This window comes from Homo sapiens, chromosome 1, assembly GCF_000001405.40.
Source record: "Homo sapiens chromosome 1, GRCh38.p14 Primary Assembly".
Lineage (NCBI taxonomy): Eukaryota > Metazoa > Chordata > Mammalia > Primates > Hominidae > Homo > Homo sapiens.
In genome coordinates, this window is record NC_000001.11 from 118,948,825 (window position 1) to 118,973,440 (window position 24,616).

Genomic DNA, 24,616 nt, shown 5'->3' on the forward strand with positions numbered 1-24,616 from the left:
GTTTGCACAAGATAAATATTACTAAATTAGAGATAAATATTCTGCTAACTTGGTCCTTAGAAGAAAAAACGCAACATGTTTCTTATCATGCTCCTAAACTGCCTGTGAAAGACCTCTTTCTTGCCATTATTTACAATTTAATTATGAGTCAGTGTGGACCAGGATAAAATATATCCTCTTAGGAAGGGAGAGCAAATGAGTTTCAACATGCATGTCAGCTCTAGCCATTTGAATGTGGCATTTGAGAGCTTGAAATTCAGAAGCATGAGGCCCAATCCAAGCTCATAGGGAAGAGTACCAGATTGATTAGTGATGTGTTTCATGGACACAGGAGTCAGGAATAGCAGCATATGCATTACATATTTATTATCATATTATTTCTAAGGCTTCTACTGGAATGCTGCTGTGCATGAATTGTCACAATATCCCTCTTACATGCTTTCAGGAAATAAAAGCTATTGTGTCATTGTTCATATTTTATGTTATTCTTTCCAAGTGGCCCAGATTTTCCAGAGGCATCTGAGAGGCCACTAATCTCTCCCCTCTAGAAATAAGGTCATCATGTTAGCAAACTTCCTCTGCTCTGACACAGTTGTGGTTTTAATGGAGAACTAATGTCTTCATCAGTATCTGTGCTATTTCACACTTCATTTCCTCCCCAACTCTTGGATGAAAACCATCCAGTCCTGGTGATTTACTTTGTGGGAGTTTCTTTCAAGTTTGTTTCCTTCTCCAAGGATGTCACACAAGCATTTTCAGGGCTCCAGCTGGGGAGCACCCAGCCTTGAAACATCAGCGTGTGATCAAGTCACTCAAGAAACCCAATGTCCTTGGCAGGGACCTGGCCGTGAGGCCTCTTAGCTGAGGCCCTTGAGTCTGAGGATAAGAGAAAGAGCTGCTACTTTTCCTGCCTTTCCATCAGCACTGGTTCAATGGCTTAAGATGGTCCAGATTGCTAGGACCCCGAGAACTGGGAGAAAATGGGAGAAAAATACAAACAATTTGAACCCATGACCCACTATTCAGGTTGTCTCTGGATCTCTCAGTGAGTTTCACAAAAATCTCAAAACAACCTTAAAGAAAGAATAGTTTTAAACTTCTTTTATGTGATCCATAGTTGTAGCCATCATCCAATCCAGATTCTCCAAGACAGTACTTATTTCCCTTCTGTGGTCCCTGAGATACATTTGCATTTAAAATAATCTCCTACTATCTGGCTTGAAAAACCAGCTCCTAGCATGGGCACACAATAAATACCTTGCTTTTAACTTGATAAAATTCTGGCTACATGACACAGCTCAGAGAAGCAAATAGGGAGGATGAAGGAAGAAATTGTAAAAGACTGCTCTTCAGTGGCAGAAGGAACCCCCTCTTCATGGTAATAGTCATATACTCTTAGGGTTTAGGCATATGTGGCTTCTGGAGGAGAGACTTCTCTGCTGCTTTGAGGCCTCTGGCTTCATTGGGACAGGCTCTTGTCTGACTTGTGCTTCACTGAGAAGAGACAAAGACAGGATTGAGGATGCAGAATCCAAGATGAAGCCAGCTCATGCTGAGCCAAGACTCACTGACATAAAGAGGAGCTCTTTCTTCATGCATCCTTGGGGCAGAGGCCACTTGATGTGGTCTCATCTTTGGCCTTAAACATAGTTTAAATGAGGACAAGAGCCATGTTGGACCATTAAAGTATCTCCCAATAGCAGCTGAAAATATACAAGCACCTTCCCTGAGAGCAAACTCCAAGTACAGGGCCAGGCTGCGGCCTTCCCAGAAAAGCCTGTTGAAGTGGTAGTGGACTGAGCTGCCTGACCTCTCATGTGGTTTTGTTGTTGCTGTTCTGTTTCTTAAATGAACATCTGATATTCATACCTTGTCAAGTATGGGCCTTTATTATTCTCTAATAGGAAAGCTTAACTCAGAATGTCAGCTATGTTTCAAAGACCATCACAAAAAAGGAAGAAAAAAACCAGCTTCAGTTCTCAAGCTTGCCAGTATAAAAGCACAATATGCCTCACAGTTCTCATCGAAGGATCAGCTGGGTCAGTCCAAACATCACCATGTCATCTTGGTTCCTTACCAAATGAGGCAGTGGTGCTAAAAGAAAAAAGTCCAACATGCCACTGTGCACTCCGAAAAGACACTGGCATCTACTGCCCCCAAAAGAGCAATGCAGAAGAACAATTTTCATACTGCAACAAATTTAAAGTTTTAAGAAAAGATAGAATCATTACACAATTCAGATGCCATGTAGCTATCTATAAAAAGAATAGGATATTACAGAAAACAAACTACAAACTATGACTACATCTTCAATGTCATAAAATACCTGGCTTGAAATAAATTTCCTTGACAGGAGAAAAAAGATTCCTTTTATCCAGAGACCAGAAATGTTCAAACTCCAACTGTCAAAAGGATAACAAAATCATGAGAAAGGAGTTTACCTCCCAATGTAGAAGACATTTCCCCTAATTGGCTCAGCATTCTAAATTCTTGGGATACACAAGGTAGCAGCTAACATGCAATTCCCAGAATAAGAAGCAACGACAACTCTCTCCTAAGAAATAGAGATAACCTATGCCACCCCTACTTCTCGCAGCTGGAGAAAGTCCAGTGGAGGGGTTTTGAGTAACAATAATAGTCATTGGCTCTGAGCCCAGGGCAGGAGAGGCAGGAGATATGTGGAGACCCAGAACCCTGGTCCTTCCTCTCTTGTTGGCAAGGTCTCCAAATGGTTCCTTAGCTCTTCTTGGCAATTTTTAAAGGTCACCTGCTGCAACCACAGGTGCCTTTTTCTACTTTGCCTCATGCCCTCAGTTGCAACATCTTATTGTTCCTGATTCCAAGTGGCAAAACCTAAAGGTCACCATTAACCTGGGCCAGAATTGCTTCCTGCTCCTATATCTGCCAATTTGCACCACACACTCAAAAGGTCACCAACTTGATGTTAGTGTCCCAGCCCTATCTGGGCCTCACTGCTTCTCCACAGCTACAGCCCCAACAAGGTTATGTCTCTTCCCTGTGCCATCCCTGGGCAAGGGTGGGAGGGCCCTGCTCCTGCCAGTGTTCAAAATCTGAATGTGACTCTCTATCCATGCCTTCAGCTGGCAGGAATGTAGGGCTGCAGTTGAAGTTGATATAAGTACACTTGACCCTAGAACACCAAGGATTTGAACTGTGCAGGTCCACTTATATGTAGATCTTCTTTTGCCTTTGTCACCCCTGAGACAGCAAAACCAACCCCTCCTCTTCCTCCTCCTCTTCAGCTACTCAATGTGAAAACAATAAGGATGAAGGCCTGTGATAATCCACGGCCACTTAATGAACAGTAAATATATTTTCTCTTCCATGAGGTTTTCTTAACATTTTCTTCTCTCTAGCTTACCTTATTGTAAGAATATAGTATATAATACATGTACAAAATATGTATTAACCAGCTATTTATGTTACTGGTAAGGCTTCCAGTCAACAATAGGCTATAGCAGTTAAGTTTTGGGAAAATCGGAAGTTATATCGAGATTTTTGGCTACATAGGGAGTCAGCACCACAACCCTCACATTTTTCAAGGGTCAATAATACAGAAAGAAAAATTTAGAAAAAAAATAATTTTCTGTCCTTAAAACCAACCATGTCTTTAGATTCAAACCAAGACTCTAAATTCTCAATTATTTTAAGTGTGGGTTCTCATCTCACTCAGTGCCCTCACTGAGTGTCAACAGTCTTATGCCCTCTTTTTTTATAAGACATTTTACAATCCTGGGCCAACCATCAGTTCCCGATGTCTAATCCCTCCTTCTCCTGGGCAGTCTGCCCTAACATAGCTCTAAATACCTACAGAGGCCCAGACTAGGCACCTGCATAAAGTATGGCTAAACTTCCCAAGGGGGCTAGCCATAGTAGTTTTGACCAATAAATAATAGTAACTCTTTGACTCAGAAAGCTAATAAGGACTTTTTCCTTGGCCAAGAAACTACACTAGGAGCCACAAGAGACAGAAATCAAGTATTTATTTTACTTGAAATTCTGCTATCTCAGAAAATGAAGTACAGGAAACCACCAGGAAAAACTGTTGTCAGCCAAGTGCCTTTAGCACTTGAAGGAATGGTGCATCTCATATTTAGATCCACCCACAGCTCAGGCTTCTTAAAGCAGAATAGAAATAGGAAAAGATGGCTGGAGGAAAGAGAGGCACTTCATGTTTTTTAAATGTATAAACCCAATACTGACATTTTTCCATGTTGCCAAGGAATAGTTTCTGAAAAAAAAAAAATACACCTGTGGCCAACTAACAGTATTCTCTTTAAGATTTGCTTTTGTGACTAAATTAATTAAGGCCACTGGTATTTTTTCACACTAGTGATTTCTTAGGTTGTCCTCTGAACCTAACCCTCATAAATGAGTCACTGGAATTTAATTCATTCTAAATGCTACTTTTTATTTTAACCCTTATAACACCTGACTTAGCCAACCAAACGTAAAATACAAGACATAGAATAAATACAAAATAGAATGTACAAATAAGAAGAGATTAAATAGAATCTTGGCGAATTCCAACTGCTCCACATCCCCAAGAGAAACATGGGGTCTCCACTGTTTCACTCATTCCCAACCTCCCACTCTGGGCCTTGGGATCCTCAGAGCCTCACTCCAATTAGAAAGAAAGGTAAGAATGACACTCAAAATTCCAATTATAAAACACATTTTAAAGTGAAATTTCATTATTCCACAGCTTACAAAATAATATTTCAGATGGGAATGGAAGTGAGATGAGAAGGGCCATGTGCCTATAATATGTTTGATGTTACACATATGGGAATTATCTGAAACCCATGTCTTCCTAACCCAGTACCAACACTTTATACACAGGATTGTTCCAAGTTTTTTCTTTTTTTAAGTTTATTGGTTTTCACTCTCAAGAAAGTGAACAATTCTCTTCACTATGTGAAATTTTTTGATGAATGTTCTTTTGCCCCCTACAAAGGTAGACATTATTTCAGCAGATCTGAATTAGTTTTAATGAACAGTCTGAAATGAACAGTCAAGGAGTTGTCTTTATTTGAGGAGGCAGTGAACTTAACGAGAATATTGTGAGCTACCTATAGTGTCCTTTGCCTACCCTTCTAAGTTCTTATAACCAGGCCAGACCAAATAAAGCCAAGGTTCTATCCCTCAAGATTTGTCACATGACAGCCAGGTGGTCATGGGAGAAACACTAATCTTCACATGGACACTTGGAAGAGCACCATTCTAAATAGCTACTTTCCAGGGGCTGTCAAAGCTTTCTTCTTCCCCAACACATAATCAAATCAAACTGTAATAGGAAGACTAAATATCGCAAATCAACAGTCAGATGGACCTCTGGAGACCAAGGAAAGCTAAGGAGTTTCCCTGCTTGGCTGGGCAAAGCAAGGATCAAAGGAAGCTTGGAGTGGGTGGCATATCACAGCCCTGGACCAGAGGTCAGGTATTTGGCCTTTTCCTGGCTTCCAATGATATTGAATACAACAGATAAATTAAGATCAAGGCACAAGGCAGTTCTAAAAGCACCAGCCTATCCCCAGGAGATCTCAGGAAAAGAGTCATCATCTATCATGAGCCAGATCTTATCTTTACGTGGAGGAATGCTTGTCAACTTGAGAGTGGATTACATACAGCAATGTCTAATCAAAAGCCCTACAACAGGATCACAGAAGGAGGCAAACTCATCAAGAGCATTCACTTGGCCAAGGAAGAGATCCTGATTCAGGCACAGGACAAAGTCAATAAAGTTCACTATGCTCCAACTCCTGATTAACCATATGTGTGTGGAGAGATGATTACCCAAAATAGCAAGGGAGCTCAACTGCTTTCGGGAAAATCTGACCCTTTAAATTAAGGCAAGAATGGCCTGCCAGCCAATCTCAAAGACAGGAAATATTTCTGGGATTAATAACTCAACCCGATATTCATTCCAGGTTGGGGGATTTCCCTAATCCAAATGTTGGTATCCACAACTGATGCACACAGGCATCTCAGCTGGAAGCACTGCATGATTTTATAGGCCCTTGTTGAGCATACCCCTCAAGTTCCTTCAGAGCCTATCCCCACCATAAAGAGGGAAGAGTCCCAAGCACCTCCTTGGCTAGCAGAATTACAATATGTCAAGCTTCAGGCTTCATCAGGCCCAAGAGTGAGACCCACAAAGGGAGTGTGAAGAATGTAAGCCACCTTTCCAGAATCCCTCTTCATGGGTGGCATAGGAGTCACCTACATGGCATCACTTTAGGCTTGCCAAGAAGGCCTCCCCTGCCCTAAGTTTGCCTATACCTCACCATGGAAGATCAGTTAGCCCACAGGTTTATTTTTATCTAAAAGGGGCTTTTAAATATGTAGAAGCTCCCTTCTTTTAAAATGCCATCTGCCCTTTAAATATGAACAATGTGATTAAAAAAAAAAATGGATGTTTAGGAAAAGTGAAGTCTGGAACTGCTATAGTGATTTTGCTCATACAAGGGAAACTCCAGAACCACCCAAGGTTATAAGATTAAACTAACACAGAAAAACTTTATACTTATACACAAGTCAGCATCTCACTATATCTCCCATCTCACATATCCCAAAGCATTTGGTGTTGTTTCAGAAAACCAATCAATCAATGAATAATGGGGGATGCTAATAAGAATAATTCAGGGCCCTGCTCCCAAGGCTTTTACAATCTAGTGTGTAGACAGTGTGGAAATACAAAACTATTCAGCCAGAAGAAAACCTTGGTCTGCTTTTCTGCGAGTCAAGACATTTTCCGCTAGAGTCTAGAAAAAGAACTCTCAGAGTCATTTTACAAAGAGTAAGAACTCCCTGCTCTAGGGCCATTAGAAAGTGAAAAAAGGCAGGGAATCACATAAGGTCATCCTCTTCTGTTTCAATTCCCTGACCCTATTCTAGAGTTTATGGAATGCTTGTATATGGAAATTTAGTAAGACCCAAGGATTAGTTACAACAGCCCACTCTTCCCTATGTGTGCCTCATGGAGATTTATAGTTCAGGTATAAAAGATCGTCTACCAAATAGTTATCCTTCCAGGCAAGGTAAATGAGCACAGAGTTTATCCTAGGTCTTCAAAGACCTCTCATCCTAACGGTTATGAGCTGTGGGTCATGCCTGGCTTCTCCATCCATAATCTCCTTGAAGATCTCTAATTAATAGGATTAGTGCCCCTTATAAAAGAGGCCCCAGAAAGTGACCTCGCCCCTTCTACCACATGGGGACACAGCTAGAAGGTGCTATCTATGAATCAGGAAGCAGGCCCTCACCAGACACCAAACCCCAAATCTTCCACCACCTTGATCTTGGACTTCCCAGCCTTCAGAACTGTTAGAAATAAATTTCTGTTTATAAGCTACTCAGTTCATGGTATTTTTTTCTAGCAGTCTGAGCAGACTAAGACAATAATCTTGAATTAGATCTTAGATTAGGAAAAAAAAATACTAGTACTGGATATTAGGACAAATGGTAAAATGTAAATACCAACTGGGTTAAATAACAGATCGTATCAATGCATGCGTCTCCAGTTTACTAACAAATAGTTCAGAAAAAAGTTAGGTATTTATATATAAATGTTTATACAAAAACACACACAGAGATGGCAAATGGAGCAAAATATAAACAATTTGTGAAACTGTGTAAAGGGTATACATGAAGGAGTTCCTTCTAATAGTTGCTGTAAATTTTCTGTAAACTTAAAATTACATCAGAATTAAAAGTTCAAGAATGTTTAATCATTTTGGAAAATCATCCCAACAATTTTGAAAAAATAACCACATCATCAGAGAGCTGAAAGATATTCATAGTCTTTTAAAAATAGATTAAATCTGGCCGGGCGCAGTGGCTCATGCCTGTAATCCCAGCACTTTGGGAGGCCGAAGTGGGAAGATCACGAGGTCAGGAGATCGAGACCATCCTGGCTAACACGGTGAAACCCCGTTTCTACTAAAAAAAAAAAAAATTAGCCGGAAATTAGCCAGGCATGGTGGTGGGCGCCTGTAGTCCCAGCTACTCAGGAGGCTGATGCAGGAGAATGGCATGAACCCGGGAGGCGGAGTTTGCAGTGAGCCGACATCGCACCACTGCACTCCAGCCTGGGCAACAGAGCGAGACTCCATCTCAAAAAAAAAAAAATAGATTAAATCCACTAACACTTCAAGATTACAGAAGTCACAACAAAAGAACATTCAGCCTAACAAAGCTGAAGATTCCGAATGGGTTCTCTAGTTCCTGCCTACCTCCATTCCTGTGAGAAATTTAGAAAATTATACTTGGCTACTGAATGTTATATTTAACTAATTATTGTAATGTTGGGTAAAATTCAAACTATTGTTGAACAATGAAAAAAATTGAGCATTGAAAACACAACCATGCACTTGACAATAATCAAGGAAGAAAAAGGAAATGAAGAATTTGGTCAGAGTCGGACCAATCCAGTGAGGGTCAGACCTTGCCCCTTTGACTTAGAGTAATGCCTTGGCCCACTGCTCTACCCCAGATCCAGGAGCTGGGTTTCTCTAGGGCAGGACCAGGACTGGAGTGAGGTGGGCAATGCACTGGCCTGGAGTGAAAAATTTGAGGGACACCAAAAATTTCAGCAATCAAGATAAATAATATTTCAATGCAATATTTTATTTTTTTAATTATACTTTAAGTTTTAGGGTACATGTGCACAACGTGCAGGTTAGTTACATATGTATACATGTGCCATGTTGGTGTGCTGCACCCATTAACTCGTCATTTAACATTAGGTACATCTCCTAAAGCTATCTCTCCCTCCTCCCCCAACCCCACAACAGGCCGCGGTGTGTGATGTTCCCCTTCCTGTGTCTATGTGTTCTCATTGTTCCATTGCCACCTATGAGTGAAAACATGCAGTGTTTGGTTTTTTGTCCTCGCGATAGTTTGCTGAGAATGATGGTTTCCAGCTTCATCCATGTCCCTACAAAGGACATGAACTCATCCTTTTTTATGGCTGCATAGTATTCCATGGTGTATATGTGCCACATTTTCTTAATGCAGTCTATCATTGTTGGACATTTGGGTTGGTTACAAGTCTTTGCTGTTGTGAATAGTGCCGCAATAAACATAAATCATGCTGCTATAAAGACACATGCACACGTATGTTTATTGCGGCACTATTCTCAATGCAATATTTTTAAAAATTAAAATTAATGCAAAAATTTGCCATGAATGAAGTTATCAAAATATTTAATAAAATAAAGATAGTGCTATAGACTGAATGTTTGTGTCCCCACAAAATTCTTATGTCAAAACCCTAACCTCCAATGTGGCAGTTTTTGGAGACGAGACTTTGAAGAGGTAATTAGGATTAGATGAAGTCATAAGGGTAGGGGTTGGTCCAGTGGGATTAGTGCCCCTATAAGAAGAGGCAGCAGAGAGTTTGTTCTCTCTCTCTACCATGTGGATGGCCATCTGTAAATCAGGAAGAGAGCTCTCACCAGAGCCCAGCCCTGCTGTACCTTGACCTGGGACTTTTAGCCTTCAGAGCAGTGAGAAATAAATTTCTGTTGTTTAAGGCTCCCAGTCTATGGTATTTTGTTATAGCAACCTGAGCAGACTAAAACAGACAGGATCAGTATTCGTGATTTTTTCTTTTGCTTCAGGTTCCAATATCACGCCAATATTTTGATGTTTAGTTCAACATAGATTTTTTTACATTAATTCTGAATTTTTAAAATACTGCACTAAATATTATTTATCTTGATCAGTGATATAATTTTTGCCTCCGCATGGTCCTGGTCCTACCCTAACAAACACAGTCTATGACTCCATTCCCACCACAATATCCTTCCATATTCCCACCAGCCCCACCTCCCACCTCCCAGAGAAGTAGCTAAACCTCATGGTTCCTGGGACTGCATTTCACCAATGTCTTATCTTATTAGGCATGTTGAGATGCTCACCAATTCCTACCAACTCTACCCGGCCACTACCTCCTCTGCTTTCTGATGGCCTGGTTCAAAAGAAGAAAAATATTAAACAGCTGTTTCACCCTAGAAGGAGCAAAAACAGAGGCTGGAATAGTAAATGAGAAGGAAGATTGGTAAAAGATGGGTAGAAGACCGTGCTTATTGTTCCAGTATTATAAATACTAATTAATAGGGAGGCTCTCTAATTTGGGAAGAAAAGGCCTTAGTGGTCATCAGAAGGTATAATATCAGAGAGAGAGAGAGAGAGAGAGAGAGAGAGTATGTGTGTGTGAAGTTAAACATATACTCTGGTAACATTCCTTGAGGGAGAGGGTAGAAACTAAGAACAAAGGAAAAAGGGGAATGTGGAATAGAGTGGGAAATGTCAACAATTAAGGCCTCTTCTGCACCAGGAACTGTGCTAGATACCTCCCACATTACCTCAGTGAATCCTCCCAACTATGAATGCTGGGCTGTGGAGGATACACCCTGATCCATGCCAGAAAGCCTTCAGGCGAATAAGAATATGTATTTATAGACATCTGCAAGAGAGACCATCAGCTCTCCTTTGGAAGGCAGACAGCTGTGTTCTGCCAGGTGTTCAAGGCTTCTGCAGCTGAACATGAAATGTACAAGGTGTTTCAGGCCTGAGAGATGATGGTCCTTGATATTTCCAGTACCTAACCTCTGTCAGCACTGTAGAGGCTCCAGATTCTGTAGCTGGAAAAAAACACATCAGCCCTGCCAAGCTGAACTGAGCCTTCCCTGGAGTTACTGCCACTGCAGCACCTGTTTCACTGCTGTTGTGTTTTCCCTAAAACCACCTGAACACTCTGAGCACTAGCAAAATATAGAGCTTTGTTCTCCAGAACAGTGTCAGTCCTACTCCAGCCCCCTAATTCATCATTGTTAAATAGTGAATGAACTCAGTTCAGTGAGCGAGGGGAGCTACATATAGACCAAATGAGAAAGAGATGAAATCTGACTTCGAAATCAGAATAGGCACAAATGTCTGCAATAAATTCAGTACATCCAAAGATGCTCTGATTACAACCAGAGTTAGGAGCCAATTTCTCCTCCTTGTACAGACACCTGGAATATAGTACCTTGGGGTGGAGTAGAGAGGCATGTTTCACCTGCGGCTTCCCAGAGAAAAGCCCTAGACTGAAACCATCTTCTCTGAATCTCTCCTGCACTCCAAGAAAAGGCCCAGCAGCAACTTAGAAATTGTCAAGACAGCTGCAGGGCTAGCTGAAGAATCACTGGAGCAAAGCAAAACTTGAAGAGAAAGAGAAAAAAAAAAAAAAAGAAGAGAAAAGGGAAGTCAGAGCAAGGGAGAAGAATGTCTGGCAGGAGCCTGTGGTTTGAGTGAGGCGGGATGGGGGACCCCCTGGCTATTTCTGCCTCTGTTTTTGGCGGCCTCTCCATCTTGCTGTGTTTATGGGCCTGACGTGACTTTCCAACTAAGTACATCCGCTAGGCTTGCACTGGAAAACTTGCCACCTTCCGCCCAGTTCAGGTTTCATCTGATTCACACCAGGAAGCTCTAGTTTCGAGAGCCCCATGCATTTTTGCAGCTGAATGGAAACAACTGGATGCAAATCAGACCTAGAGAACACCTGCAGCTCTTCACTGCCCTTGCACCTCCATCTAACCTTTGAAGCGAATGGCTTGGGTGGCCAGACTCAGTGACTGAGCTTCTCCAAGCTTTGAGATCCACAGCTGCAAGCTTCCCAGGACCCAGAAGAGGAGGCCAGTCCTAAAAAGTACCAAAGTTTATACAACACAATTGAGCGACCAGGAGGCCAAACTGGACAATGAGAGGAATGGCTGCAGGGAAGGCCTGCCAGGGTAGAAAGCACAAGGTTTAATTTATAGGAGATGACACAGCCTCCCAGGCAGGCTACTGAGTGAGCCGGCAGAGTCTCCCTCAGGATCAGGGCTTCGTGTTCCAAAGTCCAGGCTGGTGTGAGGAAATAGGGACAAGCGGCCACTCTGACTCAATCATCCCCAGTGTTTGCTACTTGTTGCTTTGAAGGGAGGAGGGAGGGCAGAGTCGAGGTCTGGTCAACACAGCAGTGGCTCAAAGTGCAATTTAATCATCCTGGACTTGGCCCAACCCATCCTCTTGGTGTGAGGGAGGAGCAATTTGTTATTGCTGCTGTCATCGACACTGGGCGGCCATGGACAGAGATCTGCAGGCAGCAGCAGTAGCAGGAAAGGCTGGGGAGCAAAAGAAGTGAGTGGCAGTTGTGCTGGGCTATAGGAACTGCAGGAGAGTGGTGGCCCCCAAGGACTGGGAATTCATGCAAGGTCCTCTTCATCCAGGCCCTGCTATAGGAAACCTGATGGGAATCAAGAGACTAAAAATGATTTCCTGGTTCCCCCTTCCTAACTCAGGCTCTGTGCCCCATACTCTGTTCATATTCTGTCGAGACACCCATCCCCCTGTGTTTCACTTGTCTGATTACATATCTGTCTTCTTAAGAGCAGAGAATGGTGTTTATTCATCTTTATACCTCCCAGCACCTAATACCATATTTGTTGAATAAGTGAATCAACTATTGCTATGATGAGAGTGTGATTCATTCTCTCCACTGAAATTGAGCATGTACTCTTCTACAGTCTCGATGTTTGCAAAGTACTGCTAGGAATCAGGCAGCCATCTTCCTTGGGGAGAAGGAGCATTACTCAAAGTGCATGAGGGGAAGGGAGATGTCAGAAGAATGCCCCATTTACTATGTAAAATTCAGGTTCCTAGAGCCTTCCTCTGACTCTCTGAAGCAGAAGCTTGATGATGGAGGCCAAAAAAGGATAAGAAGTTTCATCTCACTAGATCCCCATATTTAAGTGTGAATCCTGAGGCCTAGGGAAGAAAAGTGATTTGCTCAAAATTTCCTATCTAGTACTAGCAGAGCTGGGAGTATCATGTGTCTAACCCCATTCTTTCCCACTACAAGCTGAGTCACTTCCATGAGCATCTCCTTGGTACCTGCTACCTGGGGGACTCTCTGGTGAGCTCTGAGGGGAATGCAAAGATGATTAAGGCACTATCCCTGTCTTCAAGGTATGTACAGTCCAAGTGCTGAGATAAGACCCTCTCCTATAATCAAGACAGGCTATGGTACCTATTGGTACCCATGCCGAAGCAAATGACAATGGCTTTGGTCTTCCTACAACCCAATATATGGATGTTTACTGAAGAACTTTTTAAGTTACAGTCAACTTCTACTTTTCCAGAAGAACTACAAGAAGCCAGGATTAACATTTATATCATGAGGATATGCCAATTTTTCAAAAGTTCTAGTACATTAAGCCCAAATCCTAGCCAACAAAATTTCTTTTTTCTATGAGGACAGTGTTACACAAAAGGCACATTCATTTTTTGTAGAACTCTAAGGAAAACTGTGTAAGGGTCCATTACTACAGACCAGCACTGATAACATTTTGGCTATGTGAGCTTACAATTTGTTCCAATATCAGATAAATAAAAAATTGACTATCGCTTTTTTAGGTAAACCCTAAAGACAGCCTTCAACTTCTGGTTGCCTACATAACCTCAAATCGTGCCTACATTTCCTCAATGCGTAATGACAATTCAGCTGATGATAAGGGTAACTATCATCACTTCTCCCAAAAGTAAAGCAGGCTACTTACTCTTGTCTCTGTGGCCAAAAGCAACCAACAACACCCCCTTCTGTATTTAAATGACAATGATGCTCGTTCCAAAGCCTCAAAATATCCTAGATGGACAAGTGGAAAACTGATAAGGCTTCATGAACTTCAGTGAACCACCTCACTACCTCTAATCAATTATGAAATACTAGTGTATCATATCAAAGTGCTCTCAAAAATGGCCAAACCAAGTGCTAAACTGAAGTTTTCATGTCCCCATAAAGTGTAACCTCTAGGATTTAAGGGACTCTCTCTACCCCTTTACAGTTTCCTCACTGTATCGGTTTACTTAGCTACACAATAAAGCCTTCAGTGGGAATCTAGAAAATTGGTGACAATGATGATCTTTGGAAAAATATCAGTGAACACTGACCATTTAGGTAACTGAATTAATTTAGAAATGGTTATTACATAATTAAATTACAAGTTGGTAGGAGAGATCTCAAAAGCAGAAATAGTTTATGACAACCCCTCAGTTCCATTAAAACTAAAACTTTCTAGAAAAGGGAAGAATGAAACTTTTAAGGAAGATGGCATATTTGGAAAATGGAGATAAGAAACAAGTCACTTTTGAAAGTTTTTCATTCAGGCTTATCATTACATTGTCTAGTCTCTGAAAGTCTTTCTAACCTTTATGCTGTAAAGCCTAACATTCTTGTTGAAAAAGAAAAGTAGAGAATATACATCTAAGTAAATAAAATAATCCATGACAGACCTCACATCCTTAGAGCAAAACCCAGCCATAATATTAACTCACAGAAATGAAGAAAACGTGTGTTTTTATGAGGTTAAAAAATATAGCAAAAAGTTGATTTAGGACACTGTTTTATCTGAACTATTACTAACCAGGTATTTGAACGGCTCTTTCATTGAATCAATCCTCTCCTTTACAATGTCTTCCTAAACACTTTGTTTCAGACCTGCATTACTGCTTACCTGGACCACCACAGGCACCTTCCCTAGTGATAGTACAAAATATTTCTAGTTTCATTCTTACTTGTTTCCCTCTCCTGAGCATCAGAATACATAGCTAAGGCCCTCTGTTCTTAGACAGGGCTATGATTAGTTTTGAACTGTGACATATTTAACTTACAGGCTAAGGCCCCAGTGTAACTCTCTTCCCTAGCCATGGCAATATTGGAAGCCATGTGTTGAGATGGTGGAACTATAAAATGAAAGCAGACTGGGTCCCTGAGTCACCACTCAGAAGAGAGCCATGCTGGAAGATGTCCAGATTTCTCACAGTATTACAGACTATTACATCAGTGGGTCTCAATTAATGAACTCTTCTTCTCAGTATTTGTACCGTTGTACAGTCTCCTCCCACACTGACCCTGAGTTTAGTAACATGACTTGCTTTAGCCAAGTGGACTTTTGTAAGCATGATGCAAGAGTTGATACATGTTTGCACACTGGAGCCTGTCCTCTTAGAACACATGCTTTTGGAGCCCAGCTGACATGCAGTGAGGACGCCCAAGCTAGCAACATAGAGAAGCCATATGGAGAAGAACGGTGGAGACCATCTGACAGCCAAAATGGAGACTACAGACATACATCCCATATTAGGTCATCTCAGCCAGCCATTTAAGCCACCCCAGCTGAGGCCCCATGTATCATGCTGTGCCCTGAATACCTGACCCACAGAATCAGGAGCAAATGAAATGGTGCCACTAAGGGTTTTAAGGCACTAAGCACAGAAACTGATAACTGAAACAGTGAGCAAGAAATAAACTTGTATATATTAAGCCACTAAGACTTCAGGGTTTGTTTGTCTTGCCATGGGGCTGAACCTATCCTGACTAAACTCATATCTCCCCATTTCTTATCTTTCCCCATTCCATGCTTTAGCATCCTATTTACTACTGTGACATGAATCTTCCTAAGGCATAGCCCTGGTTATGTAATAGTTACTGACATTAATAGATCACTAATTGTTGGTGACTTTAATTCTTATGACAAAACCTTTATAGATAAGTAAATGGAAGTCAAGAGAAATTAAGCAACTTACCCATGTTTTCAGAGCTAATAAGGATTAGAGTCACAATTCAAACCCAGCCTAAGCTCATAACCACTATCCTCCTTGAAAACTTCCAGGGGCTCCAAACATCTACTCAATTATCCTTTCTGCCTAGATTGTAAAGTTTTTAGGGCAGGGACTATTCCTTACTCATCTACATATTGTAAGTGTTCAATAAATAGTTGTCAAATTTCACTGAATGGGCTATTTGTCTCAGGCATCTTGTAAAAACAACCTGAAGGCTGTGCATGGTGAAAGAAGGCATATGCACTGGGTCAAATCAGCCACATGGCTTATAGCTGCTTGCAGCCACTCTTTGGAGAAAGGTGGGAATAGCCAGCTGGAGTCATGGTTTGGGTCCCCCTCCAGGCTTTTCCAGTGGTTCCAATTCTTTCCTACTACAGGAAGAGATAAACACCCTTCATATATTTCCTCTCACCCCCAACTGCAAGGAAAACAGTAACACTAATTAGTTGTAACAGGGTGTTCATTTCACACAGGTCTCAGCAGGTTGCCCTGCCGTTCTTTGAAATGGTTTGGAAACAGCCTTTATTTTAAACATCTGAAGATAATTGAACCAAAGTTGCACCCAGAAACCCTGACTGACATGCCTTTTATTCTCTCCCTCACTAACAAGAAATGTTTGCTGCCATTTCTTATTTACTCAACACCTTGAAAGCCTCCGGCACTGAAGACTTGCACCCCAGGATCCTAAAAGAATGAGTTAAAGTAATGATTGGTAATAAATGGAGGAACAGGGAAGCCTGAGATATCAAACAAAACCCTATGCCTGTTTAAAGAGAAGAAGGAATTACTCTACAAATCTATAAACTTAAGCTCTGTATCTGGAAAAAATGGAGAAGTTGGAGGGAGAACAGAAGAGAATTTATGATGAAATCAATTTGCAAGCATTATACCCTTCAAATACAAGGGTATTAGGTAGCAAAGACAAAAATATTTTCTAATATATTGTTGGCAAATGGATAGGAAAATGGGCTGTCATACACTGTGGGTGGAAGTGTAAATTGAACAACCTTTCGGGAGGGTAATCTGGAATAACCATCAAAATTTTAAATGCCATGACTTCAACTGTACAACTCTACTCTACTTCTAGAATTTATTCTATAAGTGCTATCACAAGAATGCCCAAAAATAATCATGGAGTCTTATTTAAAGAAGGAAATGACTGGAAACAACCTGAAGGCTCGTCAAAATAGGTTCAATAAACATTATGAAAGATCCACACGATGGAATTCTATGAGACTTTTAAAAGAGGGGGAAGTGGAGAACTTGCAAGAATGACTATTTGACAGTCTCCAACATAACAGCTCAAAACTAAAATTATAAAGTCTAAAGTACTATATATATTATGCCACAATCTCTCTTTTCATTTTAAAGGTTTGTATATATACATATGTGTGTATGTGTATATAAGGACTCATATAATATATCATACATGTATGTGGAATGATGCAAAAGGAAACTGGTAAGAGTGGTTATCCTGGGATAAGCTCGGAAACTAGGGATGGGAGATTGCTCTTTATGCTTCTCACTGTTCATTTTGGGCTGTTTGGATTTTTTAAAAGTATACAAATTATCTGAGTTTTTTAAAATTTATAAGTAAAAAAGAAGAATAAGTAAAAAATATCACAGCCTATTAGAGAATAGAAACTGGGGCCAACACAATCTTCTCAGGCACAGAGGTGCACCTGGCACTTTAAGATGAAAAGAAGAATAGAACCAATCTTGTGACTTTGAGGTTTTGATTCAGTCTTTCAGGGAAAACTGGAGGCCCATGAACAGAAGAAGATACCTAATGGGCTGTCACCCAGCAGCGATTTCACAAATCGTGCAGAGCAGGTTCTCCTGGGCCTGCTGGGCAGCAGCTGAAGAAACACAAAAGTAGACATTCTGGGCTTAGAAACACTGGCTCCTCAAAAAAAAGTGAAGGAAACCCTCTATATCACTACTGTGTGCCTCTAGGCCTGGCCCTCAACCCAATTCCTAGGAGAACTAGAAGAAAACTCATTGCACATTCAGAGGCCCTTAGAATGTAAAATGGTATTCGGCCTGCCTCCAGCACATCCTCTAAACTTCCATCCACACTGCCCAGGGTAAGGAAATGAGGTACGGAAAGGAGGAGAGTATACTGAGGAAAGGAAGGTATATTGAGGCTGGGCATTTTAGCAGGAAAGCAACAGGTCTATCCCAACAGCTCTGCTCATACCTGGCTGTGATCTTGCTTAAGCTGTCTTCATTTGCTTTCCTGCTTCTAAGATAAGACTAGTGGTTTCATCTTCTATGTTTTTGAGAGAATAAAATAAAATTGTCAACATGATTTTCTGTCCTGGGACAGACAGTACTTTGAGAAAATAAACTAATATACAAATATAAAATATTAGCAGTATTATGCAAGTGATCTTTTTGGAGAAAAGCCAGTGATTTGACTAAATTTTCCAGCCAGCTGGTTCAGTCAAAACAGTTAATCTGATAGCTCAGCACAGACAAAAGCCAAAACTATGATTATTCATTAATTGCCACACATGTTAATTAATAGGGCACTTATTGCAAGCCAGGGATGGTGTGAAAACTAGACATACAGAGATAAAGACAGACTCCTGACCTATAGGAAATACCAGATCTAGTGAAGAAGACAGACGTAAACAAATAATTGTACTCCAATACCATCACTGTGGTATTCTGTTAGAGGTATAAGCAAAGTACCACAAGAGAAAAAGAAAAGGGTTGACCTCGAGACACCTACATTATTGACCTTCACGTGCAGATTCACCAAATCTTTATTTTTTATTTATTGCTTTGTATTGTTTTCACTTAGTCAAGCATCTAAGTGAATAATTTCAAAAATGAAGGACTAAAATTGTCAAGATTTCACAGTGGTAGAAATGCTATATAAAAATCATAAAAATGACCTATAAGTAGCAGCATAATTAGGCAATATTTCAAACAAAATGATTTAAAATGATGTGTTTGCCACCACTGAGCTAAGATTTTATGTTCTCTGTATGCCTGACAAAGATAGCTATATTCCGTACAAACAGCACCTCATCTGCCAACTCAACAAATCAAATCCATCAGTTAAGTGAAGGAAAGGGACAAGTAGAAGATAAAATAGTCAAAGCAGTTATTTAAAGCCATGTAGACACAAGAAGAGGTTACCCAAATGTTTCACTTTTAAACTTGTGTTTTATTCGATTTGGTGTTTCATTCAGGTCTAAATATCATCCTAAGAGTTGCAAATGTTGAGCATAGCTCCCAGAGTTAACCTGCATAAAATTAAATTTAATTCTAATTTAATTCATTTCCAGAATGGTATTCTGTTGTCAGTGTTAAAACCCTGAAGGAGTTTCATTTTCCATGACCTCTATAAAATAACAAGCTGTATTTGCCACAGCCAGAAAAACATCCCAGGCCTCATTTGCTTAGGGAGCCTGTAATCAGACATTACTTACTCCTCTCACGTTATTTCAATAGCCATAGTCCCTCCTATTAAAACAAAAAGTAATTTTCTGACTTAGCTACAGTAATGAATATTCTCAGTTATGACATTTGTTTGTATACTGGTAGAACTATTACAATAGCATTACAAATACAGTTTCCGGAGCACTGTGACCATTTTTGCCAAATGTACACTTGTCAGTCTTTTTCTCCTGGGAATTCCTAAGAAAAAGAGTGGTACAGAACAGTGTTTTCCAAACCTGGCTGTCCATCAAAATCATCGGAGGACTTTTTCTTTTTTTTCTATTTTGAGACAGGGTCTCCCTCTGTCACCCAGGCTGGAGTGCAGTGGCGTGATCTTGGCTCACTGCAACCTCCATCTCCCAGGTTCAAGTGAGTCTCCTGCCTCAGTCTCCAGAGTAGCTGGGATTACAGGCATGCATCACACTAATTTTTGTATTTTTAGTAGAGATGGGGTTTCACTATGTTGGCCAAGCTGGTCTCAAACTCCTGACCTCAAGTGATCTGCCCACCTCGGCCTCCCAAAGTGCTGGGATTACAGGTGTGAACCACTACGCCCAGCCTAACATCGTCTGAGGAATTTTCTGAAAAACAAACTTAAATGCTTTCTCTCAATGGTGTGTATATATACACACATACACATATATATTGCGAATATATGCATATTGCATTTGTGAGTAAACAGCCTGTTTTGCCAATGCTGTTGGGTGAAGAAGGAAAGACCCAGAAGTTCTCAGCATGGAAACTAGTTTGAGGGTTTGTTCTGATTTGGGCTTCCAAAAGAGGGTGTTGGTGCCCCACTTCCCATCTAAAGAGAACCATATGATGTGAAACTTGGATTACAGTCTACAGTGAGCCCCAGAGCCAGGCACAGGGAGCTTCCCTGTTTACCTAGACCCTCTTTTTGAGGAGGGAGGAGGGAGATAAAGACACCAGGCCTCTATCTCCATCGTGAATACCAGGCACTTCAGCTTCTTTGAAAAGTATTAATATGGTTGGGATTAGAAAGTAGGTTTTGGGGTTTTCCTAAGATAGAACAGCCCAAATGGCATAATCAATACATCACCTAGCATGGATTGTTAACAAGATCTGGGTTAGAAAAACCTTCTTGCAAGTCATAAAAAGCAACTGGCACAGCAGTCAGATCTCTTGCCCCAGATTATCTGCACCATGTTCCTTAGCATCGTGGACAAATGGACTCATTCCCTGTACCTACTGAGCTCAAAGGATAGACCTCTCCCAGTAGCCTATGGTTCAGGTTCATCCCATCTTCTCCATCACTGAATAGGACCCATTTCACTGTGAAACAGAAAATAGGAGAGCTCAAACTGTGTGATTATTATAGGGGTGTCAAGGCAGTGACCTTCTGGGGTTATTCTCTGGAGTTGTTGATTCTGGCCTCTGGACCATGAAAGACCTGAAGGGAAGCCTATAAGAGAATTCTGTAAGCCTTAAGGATCAGCATACAGATGAATGAATAATGAACTTTCAAATCTTTATGGACAATATATATCCTCAGAAAGCAGTTCAGCATCTGAAGAGACTTCTTGTTCTTCAGAGGCATCAAATTGGGTCCTTCATGACCTATAATCAGATCTTGGTGAGTCATCTTGTACAACCCTTCCTGGGTTGAGTCCTGGGTCAGACTCCCTTTCTAAAGAGGATACAGAATAAGAACCATGTTGGAGTGGCGTTCTCCCAGAAGACACTAGGTCATTCAACAATTCCTAGAGTCTGTTGGCTATTAACATTTAGAAACCCACAAATGTATCTTGAAGAAGTATCCTCCAAGATTCAGGATCAGGGATTCTCAACTAGAGAAAGATAGACTAGGTTATTCTGATCATTTACATATTAAGTGCAGAGAAACTCTCTTTTCCCATGCTTGGAGCTCAAGGCATCCATTCACCTCCAGTCTGTTGGCCTTTGATATACTTTGGCTCTATGTTCCCACCCAAATGTCATGTTGTTTTGTAATCCTCAGTGTTGGGAGAGGGACCTGATGGGAGGTGATTGGATCATGGGGTTTCCCCCTTGCTGTTCTTGTGATAGTGAGTTCTCACAATATCTTGTTGTTTAAAAGTGTGTAGCACTTCCCCCTGCGTGTTCTCTGTCTCCTGCTGCCATGTGAAGACATGCTGGCTTCCCCTTCACCTCTGCCATGATTGTAAGTTTCCTGAGGCTTCCCCAGCCATGCCTACTGTACAGCCTGTGGAACTGTGAGTCAATTAAACATCTTTTCTTCATAAATTACCCAGTCTCAGGTAGTTCTTTATAGCAGTGTGAGAATGGACTAGTACAGCCTCCTTGTGTAAGTTTGGCCCTCCACACCTGTCTCCACTTTGCGGGATTTAGAATATAACAATGGCTTGGAAACCACCACCCCTGCAGAACCCACAATGACACTGGGTCAGCCCTAGCAGTCCACTGCCACTGTGGGCATACTAGCTGAGAGTTCACACTGAATCAAGGAGACCTTTATCTTCTAAACCAATGGATTGTTAACAAGATCTGGGTTAAAGAGAAACCGTCTTGCAAGTCATGAAAAGCAACTGGCATAGTAGTCAGAACATCTCTTTCCAAGCAGCAGCAGGAAGGCAGGTCATAAGGCATAAAAGAAGAAAGGAAATAGCAAAGTGAGGCTGTTTTTCTCCTTGACCATCTGTGTCAGAACCAAAACAGTACTGAGGATTTTACATGTAATTTGACAGGACCAAAAAGCACCTGGCACTCTGTGGATCTCTGCGGCTGACTCTTGACTGTGCAGTTTTTTAATGCATTCTCACAGAGCTGCCTCATATTTCTCACCCCTCCATTTGCTCAGTGATTACCCTGTGTTTGAGGGGTTTTTCTCCTTCCTTCTCCTGACAATCTACCTTCCCTGGTACCATGTGGCTGAGCCCTAAGCTGGGATCTCCTGTCAGTTCATGCACATATTCCCCACTGCTCTTGGGAAGGAAAAGCCAGAAAAAATTTCTGTCATTCTGCTTCAAGTTAACCCAATTCTGCTCTCTCAGGAAAACACACACTATCTGTCTTTCACTTAGAAACTTTTTTGCACTTCTGTTTAAGAACACTAGATAGTTTCAGATTGCTTTTTATTCTATTTCTTTTTCTCCCTTGCTGGGCAGAAAACAGAGGCTGCCGTGGTCACAATCCTGAAACAAATAGGAAAAGAGGAGGCAGAGAGGTTCCCACAATCTAATTATGCTTCTAAATGCTAACACCTCATCAGGCAAAAGCTCCAAAAAAGACTCCATGAGCATTCAACAATTTCTATCTACAAAAATGTTAAATGTCCTTTCTTTCTTTCTTCTCTAAGTCCAGAGGTCTTATTCCTATTATAGAGATTCCAGAATATAGAGAGATCAACAGACACATTCCAGGTCACACCTACAGGTGACTGGCAGGCACCTCATGCTGGGCTCCAGGATCATCTTGAAGCCAAGTCATCTGTAAAGTGGCTGTAGTGGTCACAAAACCCATCACTAAAGTTTGACAACCACCAATTCAGTTTTACAAATGTTAACTGAGTGCCAACAGGAATTCAAAGATGAGTAAGACACAGTGCTCTCCAGGGTTTTGCAGTCTAGTTGGGGCTTGTAAAATAAATATTTCTTCCAAAAAGTTATAATTCAAGGAAAAATATGTTGGATGTCATAAGAAAGGTACAAAATATTAATTTTTAAAGGCTTCTAACTTATCCATTCATCTACGACCAATTCTAAAATGTAGAAAAGATCAACCAAAACAATTGTGTGAGTGTGCATATATGTTTACATGTGCACAAAGATGGCCACAGAATAAGAGGGACAGCCAAAGCCAACAACCCCTTGGGTATAGGCATCAATTGCCCAAAAGTCTAACAGTTAATGTCAATCTAATAGGGCAAAAGGAATAGAATAGGTGTGCATCCTGCCAAGAAAATAACAGGTTAAAACCAGATTACTGTCCTGTTGATAGTGTAAAGCCGGCAGTTATTCTATAAATGATAAAGGCAGGACAGGAGCCTTGATTAATGGTCAAGTCAGGTTACTTGGTGAAGACCTCCTTCCAAGAGGAGCTGATAATGATGGCCAAAGGGGGACCCTTGTATTTGTACAATCTTGGCTACACCTTTGAGAGTTGCAGAATACTTAACTGGGGCTCTTTTGTGACCACAAAACCACAGAAACACCCTGGTGCCATTTTGAGAGGAAACCAAAAAGACATCCCTAAAAGAAGAGCTCCCTTTAGCCAACTCCAAGTTAAAGGTAAAATTGGTGCATCCAAGAATTTTCCTCCATTACAGTATACCCAAACATATGAGCTCTGCATGGACACATGTAATGTTCTGAAGCCATTATATGTTTGGATTTACACATCATGTCAATTAACATTTATATCAAATTGCCCTTTTCCTTCTTAAAATGATCCTGTCATATTTGGTGCTCAAGATAGATCTTGAAAGTAGAATAAACTTTCTTTAGAAAGAATTTTATGGGAAAAAGCAGGAGGAACGGTGCTCCAGACAGCAGCAATAATGGCATGGAAGAGGAGAAAAAGCCTGTGTGGAGAGGAGCTGTGAATAGGGCAGCAGTGAAAAGTAGGCGAGGAGGGTAGTTTGGTAGTTTGGGACCATCTTGTGCCAACACTCTCCAAATGGTTTCTTTTCCTTTCTTTTCTTTTTTTTTAGATGGAGTCTCACTCTTTTCATCCAGGCTGGAGTGTAGCGGCGCAATCTCAGCTCATTGCAACCTCTGCCTCCCGGGTTCAAGTGATTCTCCTGCCCTCAGCCTCCCAAGTAGCTGGGATTACGGGTGCCCACCACCACACCCAGCTAATTTTTGTATTTTTAGTAGAGATGAGATTTCACCATGTTGGCCAGGTTGGTCTTGAACTCCTGACTTCAGATGATCCACCTGCCTCGGCCTCCCAAAGTGCTGGGATTACAGGCCTGAGCCACCATGCCCGGCCAAATGGTTTCTCATAAAAACACTAAAGAGTGTCTGAGTGGTCTCAATGTATGAAAAGTATAATTATGAGCAAGGTAGACAGATGATAATATTGAGCACTCCCTAATTTTGCACCAAATATGACAGGAATATTCTAAGATGGAAAAGGGTAATTTGATATAAACGTTAATTGACATGATGTATGTACCAGGTACTATGCCAAGCACCTTAGATTTGTTATCTCACTTAATTCTCACAACAACTCTGCAGCAATATTATTGCCCTCATTTGACATGTACACAGCTGAGGTACAGTGTGCCCAGGTCATGTGTTCAAAGTCACAGCCAGAAGAGTTGCTCAAATCAGGTCTCCCTGACTCCTCCCTGCAGTTCAGTGCTACTTCTTTGGCCTCTATCTACTGTCTTAGTTTCCCATACCAACCAGCTTTCTCTGCTTCTAGTATATGAAGGCTGTCTGCTTTCATGCTTTCATACTCACACTCATGCTCATCTCCCAACAGAGGCCATCCAATACACTACAGGGTTAGTACTCAGCTGACAAGA

General features: G+C 41.2%; 1 protein-coding gene across 7 annotated transcripts in view, besides 1 other annotated feature; it reads right to left on the minus strand.

Moving 5' to 3' along the window:
• Positions 1 to 24,616, minus strand: part of TBX15 (T-box transcription factor 15) — a 106,464-nt gene that overhangs the window by 65,778 nt on the left and 16,070 nt on the right. The gene's annotated exons all lie outside the window — the stretch shown is intronic.
• Positions 11,299 to 11,913: an enhancer, noted in NCBI's record as "OCT4-NANOG-H3K4me1 hESC enhancer chr1:119502746-119503360 (GRCh37/hg19 assembly coordinates)". NCBI's record gives its function as "activates a minimal SCP1, AML or CMV promoter by ChIP-STARR-seq in naive H9 embryonic stem cells {active_cell/tissue: H9 hESC(naive)}" and the evidence as "EXISTENCE:reporter gene assay evidence [ECO:0000049][PMID:30033119]".